The 14,592-nt window shown below is 44.3% G+C and overlaps 2 protein-coding genes across 11 annotated transcripts in view, besides 1 other annotated feature; both read left to right on the forward strand.

Annotated features, from left to right (window-relative positions):
- The window catches only part of AK7 (adenylate kinase 7), a 97,300-nt gene that overhangs the window by 12,738 nt on the left and 69,970 nt on the right, over nt 1-14,592 (forward strand). For all 10 annotated transcript variants that reach the window (XM_006720021.3, NM_152327.5, NM_001350888.2 and 7 more), the window contains exon 4: nt 3,982-4,076. In XM_006720021.3, the coding sequence (XP_006720084.1) occupies nt 3,982-4,076 (95 nt within the window). The remainder of the gene's footprint in view (nt 1-3,981; nt 4,077-14,592) is intronic.
- Nucleotides 7,658-7,790: a silencer, noted in NCBI's record as "fragment chr14:96878860-96878992 (GRCh37/hg19 assembly coordinates)". NCBI's record gives its function as "represses an EF-1alpha promoter that drives an FKBP-Casp9 reporter gene in an ReSE screen in HepG2 liver carcinoma cells {active_cell/tissue: HepG2}" and the evidence as "EXISTENCE:reporter gene assay evidence [ECO:0000049][PMID:32094911]".
- LOC124903276 (translation machinery-associated protein 7-like) lies at nt 9,796-12,667 on the forward strand. The gene is made up of 3 exons (XM_047432025.1): nt 9,796-9,868; nt 10,194-10,331; nt 12,585-12,667. Exons 1-3 carry the CDS (start codon nt 9,796-9,798, stop codon nt 12,665-12,667), a joined length of 294 nt encoding a protein of 97 aa, XP_047287981.1.

A 14,592-nucleotide genomic window follows, 5' to 3' on the forward strand; every position in this document is an offset into this window, starting at 1 on the left:
GTCAGTGAGGTGTACTCTTTTATCTCCAGGGATGCTATTGTAGTGCTGCCTACTTCACCTAATAGTCATCTAGGAACACTAGACAAAGTAGGGCTATAGAAAAACTGGTCTGAGACTTACCTAAAGTATGAAATCCATGATAATAATATGGATAGATACTTCTGAAGAATAGAATATTTTTAATTATCAAAAAAATGAAGGCCGGCACACTGACTCATGCCTGTAATCCTAATACTTTGGGAGGCCGAGGTGGGAGGATTATTGAGCCCAGGAGTTCAAGACCAGCCTGGACAACGTGACAAGACCTCGTCTCTACAAAAATAATAAAATAAAATAAATATATGTTTTTAAAATGAAACATTACCAGGCTGAAGTGACCTGATCATAGCTCACTACAGCCTCGAACTCCTGGGCTCAAGAGATCCTCCTGCCTCAGCCTCTTGAGTAGCTGGCACTACAGGCTTGTGCCACCATACCCCAGCTAATTTTTTTTTTTTTGGCAGAGATGGGGACTTGCTATGTTGTCCAGGCTGGTCTCAAACCCCTGGCCTCAAGCCATCCTCCAGCCTCAGCCTCCCAAAGCACTGGAGTTACAGGCGTGAGCCACAATGCCTTACCAAAACATTTAACTTTTAAAATGCAACCTGACTCATTCCATAGGCGCTGCTTAAGGAGGTGGGGTTGAATGTACAGGGCAGATACAAAGACAGATAAGAAAAGGTACCCCAAGGCACAAGTCATCACACAAGAGACAAGGCACCCAAGAGAAACTTTAACTCAACAAAGGGGGGTGCGCTCACAAGGAAGTTGTGTATAAGAGCCACGTGACTTTAAGAGGGGAGGAATTATTTCCAACTCTAAATATTTGATTCAATTCAACAAATGTTCCCTGATGCCAAAGGTCAAGGAAGGCTTGTAGAGAGTGCTTGTATTTTGAAAGTGCTTTGAAAAATGTAATGAATTCTAAGGACCTCAAGTCTAAGAGAATGAAGTGGTGTCTAGCAAGGTGGTGCTTTTGTGATTCACCTCCTCCAAAGCAACCTCTTTTTTTGTTTTGAGACAAGATCTTGCTCTGTCATCTTGCTTTGAAAAGTGTAATGAACTGTAATGTAAGGACCTCAAGTCTAAGAGAATGAAGTGCTGTTTAGTAAGATGGTGCCTTTGTGTTTCATGTCCCCCCAAAGCAACCTCATTTTTTTTTTTTTTGAGGCAAGATCTTGCTCTGTCACCCAGGCTGGAGTGCAGTGGCACTGTCTTGGCTCACTGCAGTCTCCACCTCCCGGGTTCAAGTGATTCTCCTGCCTCAGCCTCCCAGTGCTGGGATTACAGGAGTGAGCCACTGTGCCCGGCCAAGCAACCTCATTTAATACATCCAAATGCCTCCATAGGTGCCTCTTGATTGTGAATTTCAGACATTAACCACTGACTTCCTGCTGTCACAGATGGGCATTGGCCTTTCTTAGGACCACCCTCTCCCCCTCAAGGAAATGTAACCTTTTCTCAAGCTTTGACACTGCATTTCCTTTCATGAGCTTTAAAATGTAGAGTGTTTTACTGCTTCCTTCTAATAAAGAGGTTCGAATCATCAAGAAAATTTTCCTTTTCTATTTAGAGGAAAACTTTTAGCTGAATTACTTCATTTTTGAGATATAGAGTGTTTGTGTCTGCAAGAAAATATAGTCAGAGATCCTTCAATCTGTCACCAGAGTCACCTGGGGGGTATGGGGTTGGTAGGGCATGAGGTTGGTAAGGGATGGGGACTTTGTCATTTTACCTACTGCACATTCTTAGATTTTGTTTTTCTCGCAATGGATATGTATTCCTTTCTTTTTTTTTTAAAGATAGGGTCTTGCTCTGTCACCCAGGCTGGAGTGCAGCAGTATATCATAGCTTACTACAGCCTCAAACTCCTGGCCTCAAGCAATCCTCCTGCCTCAGCCTCCTGAGTAGCTAGAATTACAGGTGTGCATCCAGCTATTTTTAAAAAATTTTTTGTAGAGACAAAGTCTAGCTATGTTGCCCAGGGTGGTCTCCAGCTTCTGGCCTCAAGCGATCCTCAGCCTCCAACAGGGCTGGGATTACAGACGTGAACCACCACACCCAGCTATGTATTATTTTTAATAATGTTTTATTAAATTATTTTTAAATGTCTTAGAATTCTCCTACCTTGCCTTTCGCAGATACTATGGAAGGAAGGCAAGATGACAGAAGAGAAAGGAATACATTATTAGAAAGGAGAGAAAATATCTGCATATAGATGAAGGGTGTGTTCAAAGGGGAACAAGCAGATCATTCTAGACCTGTTATAAATATCATAAATAAAAAAGGATAACCCAGTTAGAGGACCTCAAAGTGTGCCAAGTATTCACAAAATAGGCCAAACTAAAGCTCGGCAGGGCAGAAAGGTTAAAAGAGCAAAATTAAATTGAAGAGACAATTTTTGTTATTAGACTAAAAATAGAAACAAAAGTAACACAAAGTTTGGAATAATACGTGATCATAGTGTTCTTAGACTTAATTCAATAACGCTTTCTCGTTTTAGGGTAGAAATCAATACACTTAGATCCAGGATATCAGCATTTCATTTTGTTGCTTTTGTTTAGGGAATCACCTCATGATACTAAAATCATACCATGGCAGCTGCATTACTTAGCCCCTCTGACAGTTTAATTAGACCTCACTTTGCAGCTCTGATATGTTTCTTTCTTTCTTTTCTTTTTTTTTTTTTTTTTTTGAGACAGAGTCTCGCTCTGTTGCCTAGGCTGGAGTGCAGTGGCGCAATCTCGGCTCACTGCAAGCTCCGCCTCCCGGGTACACGCCATTCTCCTGCCTCAGCCTCCCAAGTAGCTGGGACTACAGATGCCCGCCACCACGCCCAGCTAATTTTTTGTATTTTTAGTAGAGACAGGGTTTCACTGTGTTAGCCAGGATGGTCTTGATCTCCTGACCTCGTGATCCGCCCGCCTCGGCCTCCCAAAGTGCTGGGATTAGGCTTGAGCCACCACGCCCGGCCGATATGTTTCTTGAAAATTATACATCATGAAGAATATGTTAATGGAATCCCTTAGCCAAATACATTCAAGGAGAATCAATGCTTAAATGTGTAGAGAGCCTTTTTGCAAAGCAGCAAACCCTTTGGAAATAAAATGCTCTCCTTTCTCTCCACCTCTATCCTAAATATGAATCCCTACAAGTTGTTGATTACCAAACGTTTCTGCCTTATCAGTGCTCTCCACTACAGCCCACAGCCCCAGGGGTGGAGTGGGAAGGGTGGGCACACCCCGAATTACTTCCTTCCACCATGGCTTTCACTGAACAGGGTTGCCTTATGGGAACTCCTAAGAGGCCCTTACTTTCTGATGTGGGGCCTCTGCTGCCCCATCCCCAGCCTGCTCCCTTTTCTGGGCAGCTGGCTAGGTGGCATGGTGGGTACAGCATGGGCCTGGCACCCAGACAGCCTGGATTGGACTCTGCCCCATCACTTCCCTCTATGATCCTGGGCAAACTGTGCCTCGGTTTCTGCATCTGTAACCCAGAATACCTATCTCATAGTGGGGGGAATTCAACAAAGCCCATGAGTTGTTCTAATAAGGATCCTATGATCCTTACTGTCACCAGCCCTCCCAAAAAGTAAAAGCACATGGCCAGAGGCCAGAAAACAGAAAGGGGCCACAATTCTGAGCTCAGCTCAGAAGGGATCAGGCAACTGATGAGCATAGTGGAGAGAAAGGGCTGCAGTGGAGAGCACTGATGAGACTGAAATGCTTGGTTGTGAACAACCTGCTGGGATCCGTATTTCGGATACAGGTAGCGAGAAAGCAGGGGGAATTTGAAGAACGGTGATGGGAACAGGTCAAAGAAGCATCAGAGGTAACAGCACCCTGGTGTTAAGTGGCTCCTACTGGTGACTAATAGTACACGTGATTTAGAAACCAAGTTGTGCATGGGTCCAAATAACCACTCTGCTTTTTGGCCCCACAGCACTCAGTGAAGAAGTCAGCCACTTTGAAAAGCGAAAGCTATTTATTTTACTGTCGACGGTGATGACTTGGGCGCGCTCCAAAGCCCTGGACCCCGTAAGTAGAGCGTTAGCTTTCCTTTAGGTAACATTTCAGCCATAACACCTTGTAATCTGTGTGTGGAGGGAACTTCCTATGGCGAGTTGTGTATTCTCCCACTCCTGAATCCTATCCCATAATAAGCACCCAGCAGAGTTTACTGACTCTAAGCACATTCAATTCTAAGGGATTTCATTGTTTTATATGCCTCTAAGAAGGAAAAATATGCTGCCTATGAAACTATAGCAAAGCTTGCTTATCACTTATGGTATGTATTTTAAACATATTGAAAGAGCTCTCTTTTAGACTTACTTAGACCCATATTTTTGTCACGTAAATTCTTGTGCATACATTAAAAAGAAATATAGGCTGGGTGCGATGGCTCATGCCTGTAACCCGGCACTTTGGGAGGCCGAGGCGGGTGGACCATCTGAGGTCAGGAGTTTGAGACCAGCCTGGCCAACATGGCGAAACCCTGTCTCTACTAAAAATACAAAAATTACCTGGGCGTGGTGCCAGGTGCCTGTAATCCCAGCTACTTGGGAGGCTGAGGTAGGAGAATCCCTTGAATCCGGGAGGCAGAGGTTGCAGTGAGCCAAGATCGCACCACTGCACTCCAGCCTGGGCAACAGAGTGAGACTCCATCTCTAAATAAATAAAGGAAGAAAAAGAAAATATAAGTAAAATATAGTGATTATAGTATTCCCTAAACTTCCTAATATTCAGAGTCCATCTCTGAATCACACCACATTCTGTCTTTTTCCACACAACTCAGTATAAAACTCCTGAAGTACGTGGTTATTACGTTGCAAGAAAACATGAGCCACAGTCATTCTTCCAACATTCTCTTGACTAATGTAAAATTGACGTTTGGTGCTCTGTTTCTGTGCCTTTGTGCCTATGCACTACCTTTCCATTTCAGTGCTGAATCACGGTACACTCTTTTAAAAGGCAATTAAATCAACGCGAGTAGTTGACTCAACTTGAAGTGATAACAATAGCAATGGTGTGTTCAAGGTCACTGAGTCACCGGCAGCGACATTGCCAGCGATTCCTGGCTGACCACAATGATACACCATTGATCCCAGATATGTTCTAATTTCAGAAATGCTAAATGTGAAAAAGTGAATGATATGGTCAATGGAATATATTATATATAACAAGGAGATATTTAGGGATTCATCACACTTATTGCATCAAATGCTTTGTATTTGTTTAATTGTCTCTCCCCTGGTGGACTGAGAACCCCTTGAGGGCAGGGACCACAGGTTTCATGCTCTTTCCTTGTAAAGTTTACTCAACTACTTTGGATGCCATCACCTCAAGGAGCAGGTCATGGTCATTTTATTCCTGTTATAATCCCTTCCCTCAGAGCGTCCAGCTAAGTGTCCACTATAAAACAATTATGAGTCAATGGACTGGCTGACCACTGTGCTAGCTTCCGGACTGATTGTCCCAACCAAAGTAAGCAAAATAATGAACAAGTTCAACAACGGACTTCAGGAACAGCTGGGCCCAGAGGATTCAACGATGTCCTCAGTGCTCACTGACTCTCTCTCTTTCTTTTATGGTTTCTTTTCTGCTCTGAGTAGACTTCACTCTCTAGTAAGCCTCCTACACTGAATGGACTGAGAATGGAGAAGAGATGGTTCCCCAAAGAAAACATGGAGCAGTGGCTCCTGTGTTAGCTCCTGTCCTTGTGGCATGCCCTCATCCTGTCACTGTGGTTTTAATTTGCATTTCCCCAATGACAAATGATGGTTTTAAATGATTTATCAAGGTATAATCAGTGTACTAAGCCAGGTGTAGTGGTGCTTGCCTATAATCCCAGCACTTTGGGAAGCCAAGGCAGGAGGATTGCTTGAGCTCAGGAGTTCAAGACCAGCCCGGGTAACAGGGCGAAACCACGTCTCTACAAAAAATGCAAAAATTAACCAGGTGCGGTGGCAAACCTGTAGTTTTAGCTACTCAGGAGGCTGAGGTGGGAGGATTGCTTGAGCTGGGGAGGTCTAACCTGCAGTGAGCTGAGATCACACCACTGCACTTCAGCCTGGGTGATAAAGTGAGACCCTGCCTCAAATAAATAAATAAATTTACTGTATTGTATACGGTTAAGTTAACCTTTTATAGTCCTGAGTTTCAACAACTGCATGCAGTTGTACAACCACCACAACAATTAGGATACAGAACACTTTCATCACTTTCCAAAATTCTCTACCTCATGCCACACACAAAGTCAATTCCAGTTGGATTACATAACTGAAATTAAAAAGCAAAAACTTTAATTTTTTAAAAGAAAAATTAGGCCCAGCCCAGTGGCTCACACCTATAATCCCAACACTTTGGAAGGCCAAGGCAGGCGGATCACTTGAGATCAGGAGTTTGAGAGCAGCCTGGTCAACATGGTGAAACCCCATCTCTACCAAAAAATACAAAAATTAGTTGGGTATGGTGGTACGCGCCTGTAGTCCCAGTTACTCAGGAGGCTGAGGTGGGAGAATTGCTTGAACCTTGGAGGCAGAGGTTGCAGTGAGCAGAGATCGCACCACTGTACTCCAGCCTGGGCGACAGAGAGAGGCCCTGTCTCAAAAAAAAAAATAAATAAATAAAGGAAAAATTATAGAATTTATGGAGGATTCCTCAAACAAGACCAAATACTGCTAAGTATTTTATAATTGACAAATCTAGCTGCAATAGGATTAATGAAGTAATAAATAATATTTGTGTTTGAGATTTGCTTCTAAATAATCCAGGAGGATGAGGAAGTCAGTGGGGGGTATAGATACAACAAGACCGATTACGCAAAACAAACAAGTTTGTCCCCAACAAGTCTAATTGAAGGGGGCGTGGCAGAAGATGTGGCATCCGTTCGAAGTCAGAGTGAGCTGAGTAAGACTTTTGCTTGCAAGCAACAGAATCCAGCTTTCTTAATCAGAAAGAAGACATGTTAGAAAGACATACACAATGTCTTACAAAACCCATGGTCAGAGATGCCACTGGGCGCCAAGGACTGGGAGCCATGGGGAGCTCAGTAAATTCTCCTACTTTCCTCTCTGCTTTTCTCTGCTTCTGTCTCTTTGTCATTGTCACAGGAAGTCTTTTTCGTTTTGTTTTTAGAGACGAAGTCTATAAAACAGAGCCCTCCAAAGAAGGGTTTCCTCTGCCAGATTTACCAGGGTTGGCTTTTGAAAGGAGAGTTCTAATCATGGACTCTAAATCGTAATCCCTATAAGATAGACTTGGGATGGGAAGAAGAAAGGTGAGCTGCAAGGACTCCTGGTACTTTCTTCCTTTCTTTCTTTCTTTTTTTTTTTTTTTTTTTGAGATGAAGTCTTACTCTGTTGTTCAGGCTGGAGTACAATGGCACAATCTCAGCTCACTGCAACCTCCGCCTCCCAGGTTCAAGCAATTCTCTTGCCTCAGCCTCCCGAGTAGCTGGGATTATAGGAGCCCGCCACCACACCCAGCTAATTTTTGTATTTTTAGTAGAGATGGGTTTTCACCATGTTGGTCAGGCTGGTCTCGAACTCCTGACCTCAGGTGATCCACCCGCCTCCGCCTCCCAAAGTGCTGGGGTTACAGACACGAGCCACTGCGCCCGGCCGTGACTCCTGGTACTTTCTTAGCTCTCCCTTGGCCTTGCAGTACTTTTTTTTTTTTTTGAGACAGTCTTGCTATGTCACCCAGGTTAAAGTGTGGTGGCATGATCTTGGCTCACTGCAGCCTCCACCTCCCAGGTTCAAGTGATTCTCCTGCCTCAGCCTCCCAAGTAGCTGGGATTACAGGCACATGCTACCACTCCTGTCTAATTTTTTGTATTTTAAGTAGAGATGGGGTTTCACCGTGTTGGCCAGGCTGGTCTCAAACTCCCGACCTCAGGTGATCTGCGCACTTCAGCCTCCCAAAGTGCTGGGATTACAGGCGTGAGCCACTGCTCCCAGCTACACAGGAAGTTTTAACAGCCAAGGAAACCGGTTCTAAGTAAAGAAAGAGTCACTAACATAATAGGTTGGAAAAAAATCATTGTCAGCTGATGACCTTATAAAAGATAAGCTCTGTCACTATGAAAAATGTCCCAACAGCAGCCCTTCTGAGCACCCCCAGTACACAAATTGTATTCTGTAAGTCTGTTTTCCAGTAGAAGTTAACTCCAGGACTCTGGAGTTGGGAGGGAGTTGATTCTGTGTCTTGGGCCAGTGAAAACTGGGATAGGCTGGAACCTATTGTTGATGCTACAGAGCCAAGATCTGTTCAGAGATGTCCTGAGTAGGCCTGAGAGGACAAAGAGGGTCCCCACCAGCCACACTGTGAGAAGGCGAGCATCGCAAAAGTGATTCTGTCTGTTGGTTGCTTCCCACCTGCCCCTCCAGAGCCACTCTCTGCTCTTCTCCACCCTGCTCCAAACTTGTAGTCTAGATCAGTAAGCAACCTTGTCCTCTGCTCCCAACTGGGTTTGGCCAGTGGGGCTCACTGGTGAGAGGATAGGGGAATTGAGAAGAATGAGGTCAGATCACTTATTCCCCTAGCTCCCTTCGGCAGAGTTGCTGTGGGTAGGCTGAGTCTCTGAACCCAAGCCACTGCGCCTGCCGGGCAACCCCTGTCCCTGGGCTCTAATCGTTGCCTGCCCACTCAACACGTTTGGATTTAGGAGTAGTACAGAGCACCTGTTCCTGGCTCCAGGTGACGTGGTTTCCCTACACCCTGCCCACATCTTCGTAAACAGTCCTGTTATTAAACTCTCTTGAAATTACCCAACATTGAATATGCTGTTTCTTTCCCACGAGGATCCTGACTAATACATTATGCTTAATTGAAATCAGTTGAGTATGTGAAAAGCCATGACTCCATAATGTAACTCAGAAAAGTGAATATTAGATTGTTGTAAATGCTACTGGCTTCCTGTCATGATGCCACCCCACTGTCTTCCTTGCCAGCAGAGCCATGACTTGTTAAGTTCAAGTGTCCACACTGCCCATGAAATCTAGAGAAGGGAGATTCTATTCCCATTCCAGGGGAAAATCCTGATTGATCCAAACTAGCCATGATGGTTCTATTCTTCTTGCCGATGATTGGCTAAGGGGTGGGCATGCAATCCAATTTTGGGATGTGGGATGTAACAAACCTACCCCCAAAATGTAGAGTGGCTTACACATGGAGGAAGTTTGTACCTTGCTCAGGTAAAATGTAAAACAAGTGTTGCTGATGATCAAGTCAGTCTTCTCCCAACTCTGATTCAAGATCCAGGCTCCTTCTGTTGGATGGCTCCAACGCCTTCCAGAATTACCTCTGGGGCTGTCGTGCACACTTGCATCAGGCCTGTGGAGGGGAGAGAAACACAAAAGATTATGCATGGGAAGCTTTATGAACCAGGCTTGGAAGAGATGCTCATCACTTCTGCAAATTTCTTTGACTAAAACTCAGCCCATAGCTGAGGAGCCCGGAATATGTAGTCTAACTGCATCCAGGAAATCAGTCTGGTTTAGTCTCTGGCACAGAGGAAAGATGGCCAGGAGACTCCCAGGAAGGGCTCATCCCTGATTAGGAGAGACTTCAAGGAAGACACGGGCTTTCTTTCTTTGTGGATGTTGTCATATCTGGATGTGAAGCTTGGACTGCTGCTACTAGTCTTGCTGTGATCCTGAAAAGGAAGGCCACACATAGGAGGCAGAGCTCAGAAGGCATCAGAACAGCAGAGCCAGTTTCCAGTGCAGGGCCTGGGGAAGGTGTGGTAGGCGCTATGTCTGGCCACGAAGGTGGCAAGAAAAAGTCCCTAAAACAGCCCAAGAAACAGGCCAAGAAGACGGATGGAGGTTGAAGAAGATAAGGATTCCTTCTTTTTTTTTTTTTTTTTTTTTTTAGTGTGGTGCAGGCTGGAGTGCAGTGGTGCAACCTGGGCTCAGCTCACTGCAACCTCCACCTCCTGGGCTCAAGTGATTCTCTGGCCTTAGCCTCCTGATTAGCTGGGACTACAGGCACCTGCCGCCATGCCCAGCTAATTTTTAAAATGTTTTTGTAGTGACAGGGTTTTGCCATGTTGCCCAGGCTGGTCTCAAATTTCTGGGCTCAATTAACCCACCTGCCTTGGCCTCCCAAAGTACTGGGATTACAGGTGTGAATGACCGAACATGGCTGAAGATAAGGCTTTCAAGCAGAAACAAAAAGAGGAGCAGAAGAAATTTGAGGGGCTAAAAGCAAAGGCCATGGGGAAGGGACCCCTCACCACAGGTGGAATTAAGAAATCTGGCAATTGGCTGGGCATGGTTGCTCACACCTGTAACCCCAGCACATTGGAAGGCTAAGGTGGGAGGATCACTTGAGCCCAGGAGTTCAAGACCAGCCTGAGCAACACAGCAAGACACCATCTCTAAAAATAAATAAATAAATAAATAAATATTTTGAAAAGAAAAGAAAAAAGGAAATCTGGCAAGCAGTAAGCTGTTCCTTGTGCCTGAGGCGATGGTGACCCTTGATTCCATGTATATTTGAACATCTGGATTCCCTGCATCACATCTTTTGCCACCTATAGCTGGAATGAAGTGTTGTCTTGGAGTCTACTGTACATTTAAAAGTAAACTCTTGGAAAAAAGAAAAACAAAGAAAAAACAGCAGAGGCAGGCCAGCCCATGGTGCCTGGAGCCACCCGACTTAGGAACACTACTTATGGGAGATGATTTTCCCAGTGCGTAGGTCTTTTTGAGTTTGGTTTTCTGTTGCTGGTAGCCAAAAGCATCCAAATGGATTAAAACTGCACAAAAATCAGTTTTGTTACAAATGAAGGGTAAATATTAATTTATTATTAATAAATTTTAATACATTAATTAAATTAATTAATTTAATACATTAATTAATTAAATTAATTTAATACATTAATTAATTAAATTAATTTAATACATTAATTAAATAATTAAGGTATCAATTTTAATAATAGGACAATCTTAATATATATTGGGGTTGGTTTTTCCCTTAGAACCTGTTTGTTTTTAAAGTCTAGCTATGTACTTGTTTCTGTATGTGTGAGTAAAGAGATATAACCCAGAGGTGACCCTGATTCAACCAAATACTCCAGAACAAGGGCCGACGGGCTCTGATTGTCACACGTAATAACCAGGGAGAAACGGAGTCCACCAAATGATCCACGTGGGCAACCAAACACAATCACCAATTAAAAAGAGAATCCAGGCCGGGCACAGTGGCTCATGCCTGTAATCCTAGCACATTGGGAAGCCGAGGCAGGTGGATCACCTGAGGCCAGGAGTTCAAGACTAGCCTGGCCAACATGGTGAAACCCCGTCTTTACTAAAAATACAAAAAAAATTAGCTGGGTGTGGTGGTGTATGCCTTTAATCCCAGATACTCAGGAGGCCGAGGCAGGAGAATTGCTTGAAGCCAGGAGGCAGAGGTTGCAGTGAGCCAGGATGGTGCCACTGCACTCCAGCCTGGAGACAGAGTGAGACTCTGTCTCAAAAAAAAAAAAAGAGAATCCAACAGAGTGCTAGAGTGTTACAAGAAAACAGATTTGCCCATTGGCCTGATAAAGGGCAGGGGAGATTACTCTGTAGACTATGTTCTTTACCTCCTAGAAAGAGGAAGCCTCTAAATGAGCTTAGTAATTATAACAAGATAGTAGTAAGGCAGGCTGAGTTTCCAGAAATGCTGACAGCCATCCATATATAATATAACAATGAAAGGATCACGGCTGTAACCCCTGCTAAAGGAAAGGTCAACCACTTACCCTTTACTGGAAAGACAAATGATGCAAACAGTTGGGAGGAACTAAAACCCATATTAAAGGTTTGGGTTCAAAATACACTTTATTTGTTGTGTTTGTAACAAGTGAAATTTAAGGACTAAAGGGAACACAGCCTAGCAACTGGTCGCAAAGGTGCATCATACACAAACAGATCTCTGTCCCAACCAGGAATCAAGGAATGACAGCTCAGAACCTGCGGCCCCCTCTGGTTGGAATTTATGGGCTCCAGTGCCACTGGCCAGAGAGAGATTGATCTTCCTTTTCTCTCAGTCACTTTCTCAAAATGTCAGGGAAGAGATTGGCCATCCAACCTATGGTTCTCTTATGGTTCACCTCATGGAATGTGACCATTTCCCTGGCAGCCGTTGAAGACAAAGGGTAGGGCAAATCCAGAAGAGGGGTGTTGGGCCAGTCACAGGGAGCAAGGAGGGTGGGTTAGGTGACCTGGCCCAGCATGCCATGTGAGCCAGGGCTACAGAGGGGCCAGGACTCAATTCATCCTGAAGGCAAAGCTGACTACACAGTTTCCAGACTGGAGCTGGCAAGTGAAAATACAGGACACCCAGTTAGATCTGAATTTCAGATAGACAGTGAATAATTGTTTAGCATACCTATACCCTGTGCAATATGAAGACAAGCTTGTACTAAAAATTTAGTCATTTGTTTATCTGAAATTCAAATTTAGCTGGATGTCCTGTGTTTTACCTGGCAAACCTACATGTAGGCCACTAGACCTGTTTACGAGGACAGTTAATTGTGCAATATGTATTCACTAGGTATCTACTGTGTACACAGAATTGAAGTGGATCTTCCCCTCAACAACTCATTCTCCCAGCTTTCTCCCAAGGACATCTCCTAGCATCTCAGTTGCTCTAGCCTCACTCCCCTCCTCCCAGCAGTCAACTCATTGGTAAATTCTGTTCATTCATCATCCGAAATGTATCATAAACACACTTTGCTCTCTTTGTATCTATGGCAACCTTCTAGCCAGCCTCAGCCTTTAGCTTCTTGGACTACTCAAGTGGTTGTGCAGCTGGGGCCTGCCTTTGCGCCCTCCAATCCATCCTCCATAGTACCACCTCAGCCATTTTGTTGAAATGTCATTCACAACTCTGATATATCAATAAAAAACATGTATCAGAATATCACAGGTACCTCCAGAATCTGTACAAGGGTGATATATCGAGTTAAAAATACACGTATCAATCAATAGCAAACCAGGTGGCTAAAAGAAAGAAATACATGTATTGGAATATTACATATACCCCAAATATATGCACTATGATATATTACAATATGTATCAAAATATTAAATTAAATATGAAATTCAGATCACTTTGCAGTCCTGCTTTAAAAGTGAAAAACCCAACTGGGCTTAGTAGCTCAAGCCTGTAATTCCAGCACTTTGGGAGGCCGAGGCAGGAGGATTGCTTGAGACCAGGAGTTTGAGACCAGTCTGGACATCACAATGAGACCCTGCCTTTACACAAAACAATTTTTTTTTATTAGCCTGGCATGGTGGCAAGCACCTGTAGTCCCAACTACTCAGGAGTCTAGGTGGACTCAGCTGTTCCCAGGAGGTTGAGGCTGCAGTGCGCTGTGATTGTGCCACTGCGCCCCACCCTGGGCAACAGAGTGAGACCTTGTCTAAAAAAAAAAAAAAAGGCTTCAAATCCTTCCATAGCCTTTTATTGCTATTGGAATGAATCTGAACTCCTCAGTGTGGCTCAGAAACCCTGATAATCTGGCTCTCACCTACCGCATCCCCTACCAATTCCCAGCTTGGCTCCAGTCATTTTCTCAGGAGCAACTGTACTCTTACCTCAGTAGGGCTTTTTGTTTTTGTTTTTGTTTTTGTTTTTTGAAAAGAATTTTTGCTCTGTCGCCCAAGCTGGAGTGCAGTTGTGCAGTCTCGGCTCACTGCAACCTCAGCCTCCCAGGTTCAAGCGATTCTCCTGCCTCAGCCTCCCGAGTAGCTGGGATTACAGGCACCTGCCACCAAGCCCAGCTAATTTATGTATTTTTAGTAGAGACAGGGTTTCACCATGTTGTCCAGGCTGGTCTTGAACTCCTGGCCTCAAGTGATCCACCCACCTCAGCCTCCCAAAGTGCTGGGATTACAGGCATGGGCCACCTCGCCTAGCCTCAGTAGGATTTTCATTGTGTTTCTCCTGCCTCTTCAGTTGTTTCCTTGTAAACTCTGGGCTCAAAAGCTTTGGATTGGTTATTTAACTTAGACCAATGTATTGTGATTGAAAGGTTCCATACTGAACACCATATTTTTAAAACCCTGAAACCCTGCTCCAACACGGATCTCTGAATTTGGAAGGATTTTTGCCAAATCACACTGTTGCATGGCTCTCAATTATTTCTTCTGATTCCAGTAGGTTTTAACATAGTTATTTTGGTTGCATCCCTCTATGGGACTGCACAGGCTGTGGGTTGTGGGGAGACTGAATATGAGGGACAGGTCAGTGAACTGTCAAGAAATGTTTTTAATTCCTCATTCCCAGGACGTACTTAATCTTAACCAGTGAAACCAATTTTTAAAGCCAGAGTCAGTGACCTGCACATGCAATGTCCTTTTTAACATGTTATTTATTTTGGGGAGGGCCCATGTGGCAAAGAAAAAAAAAGAAAAAAACAATTTAGGTTAAAAAAAATAAAACTACAGGCTGGGGCGAGGTGGCTCATGCCTGTAATCCCACCATTCTGCGAGGCCAAGGAGGGGGGATTGCTTAAAGCCAGGAGGTGGAGACCAGCCTGGGTAACAATTGGAGACTC

The sequence above is a fragment of the Homo sapiens genome, chromosome 14 (genome assembly GCF_000001405.40).
Source record: "Homo sapiens chromosome 14, GRCh38.p14 Primary Assembly".
NCBI lineage: Eukaryota > Metazoa > Chordata > Mammalia > Primates > Hominidae > Homo > Homo sapiens.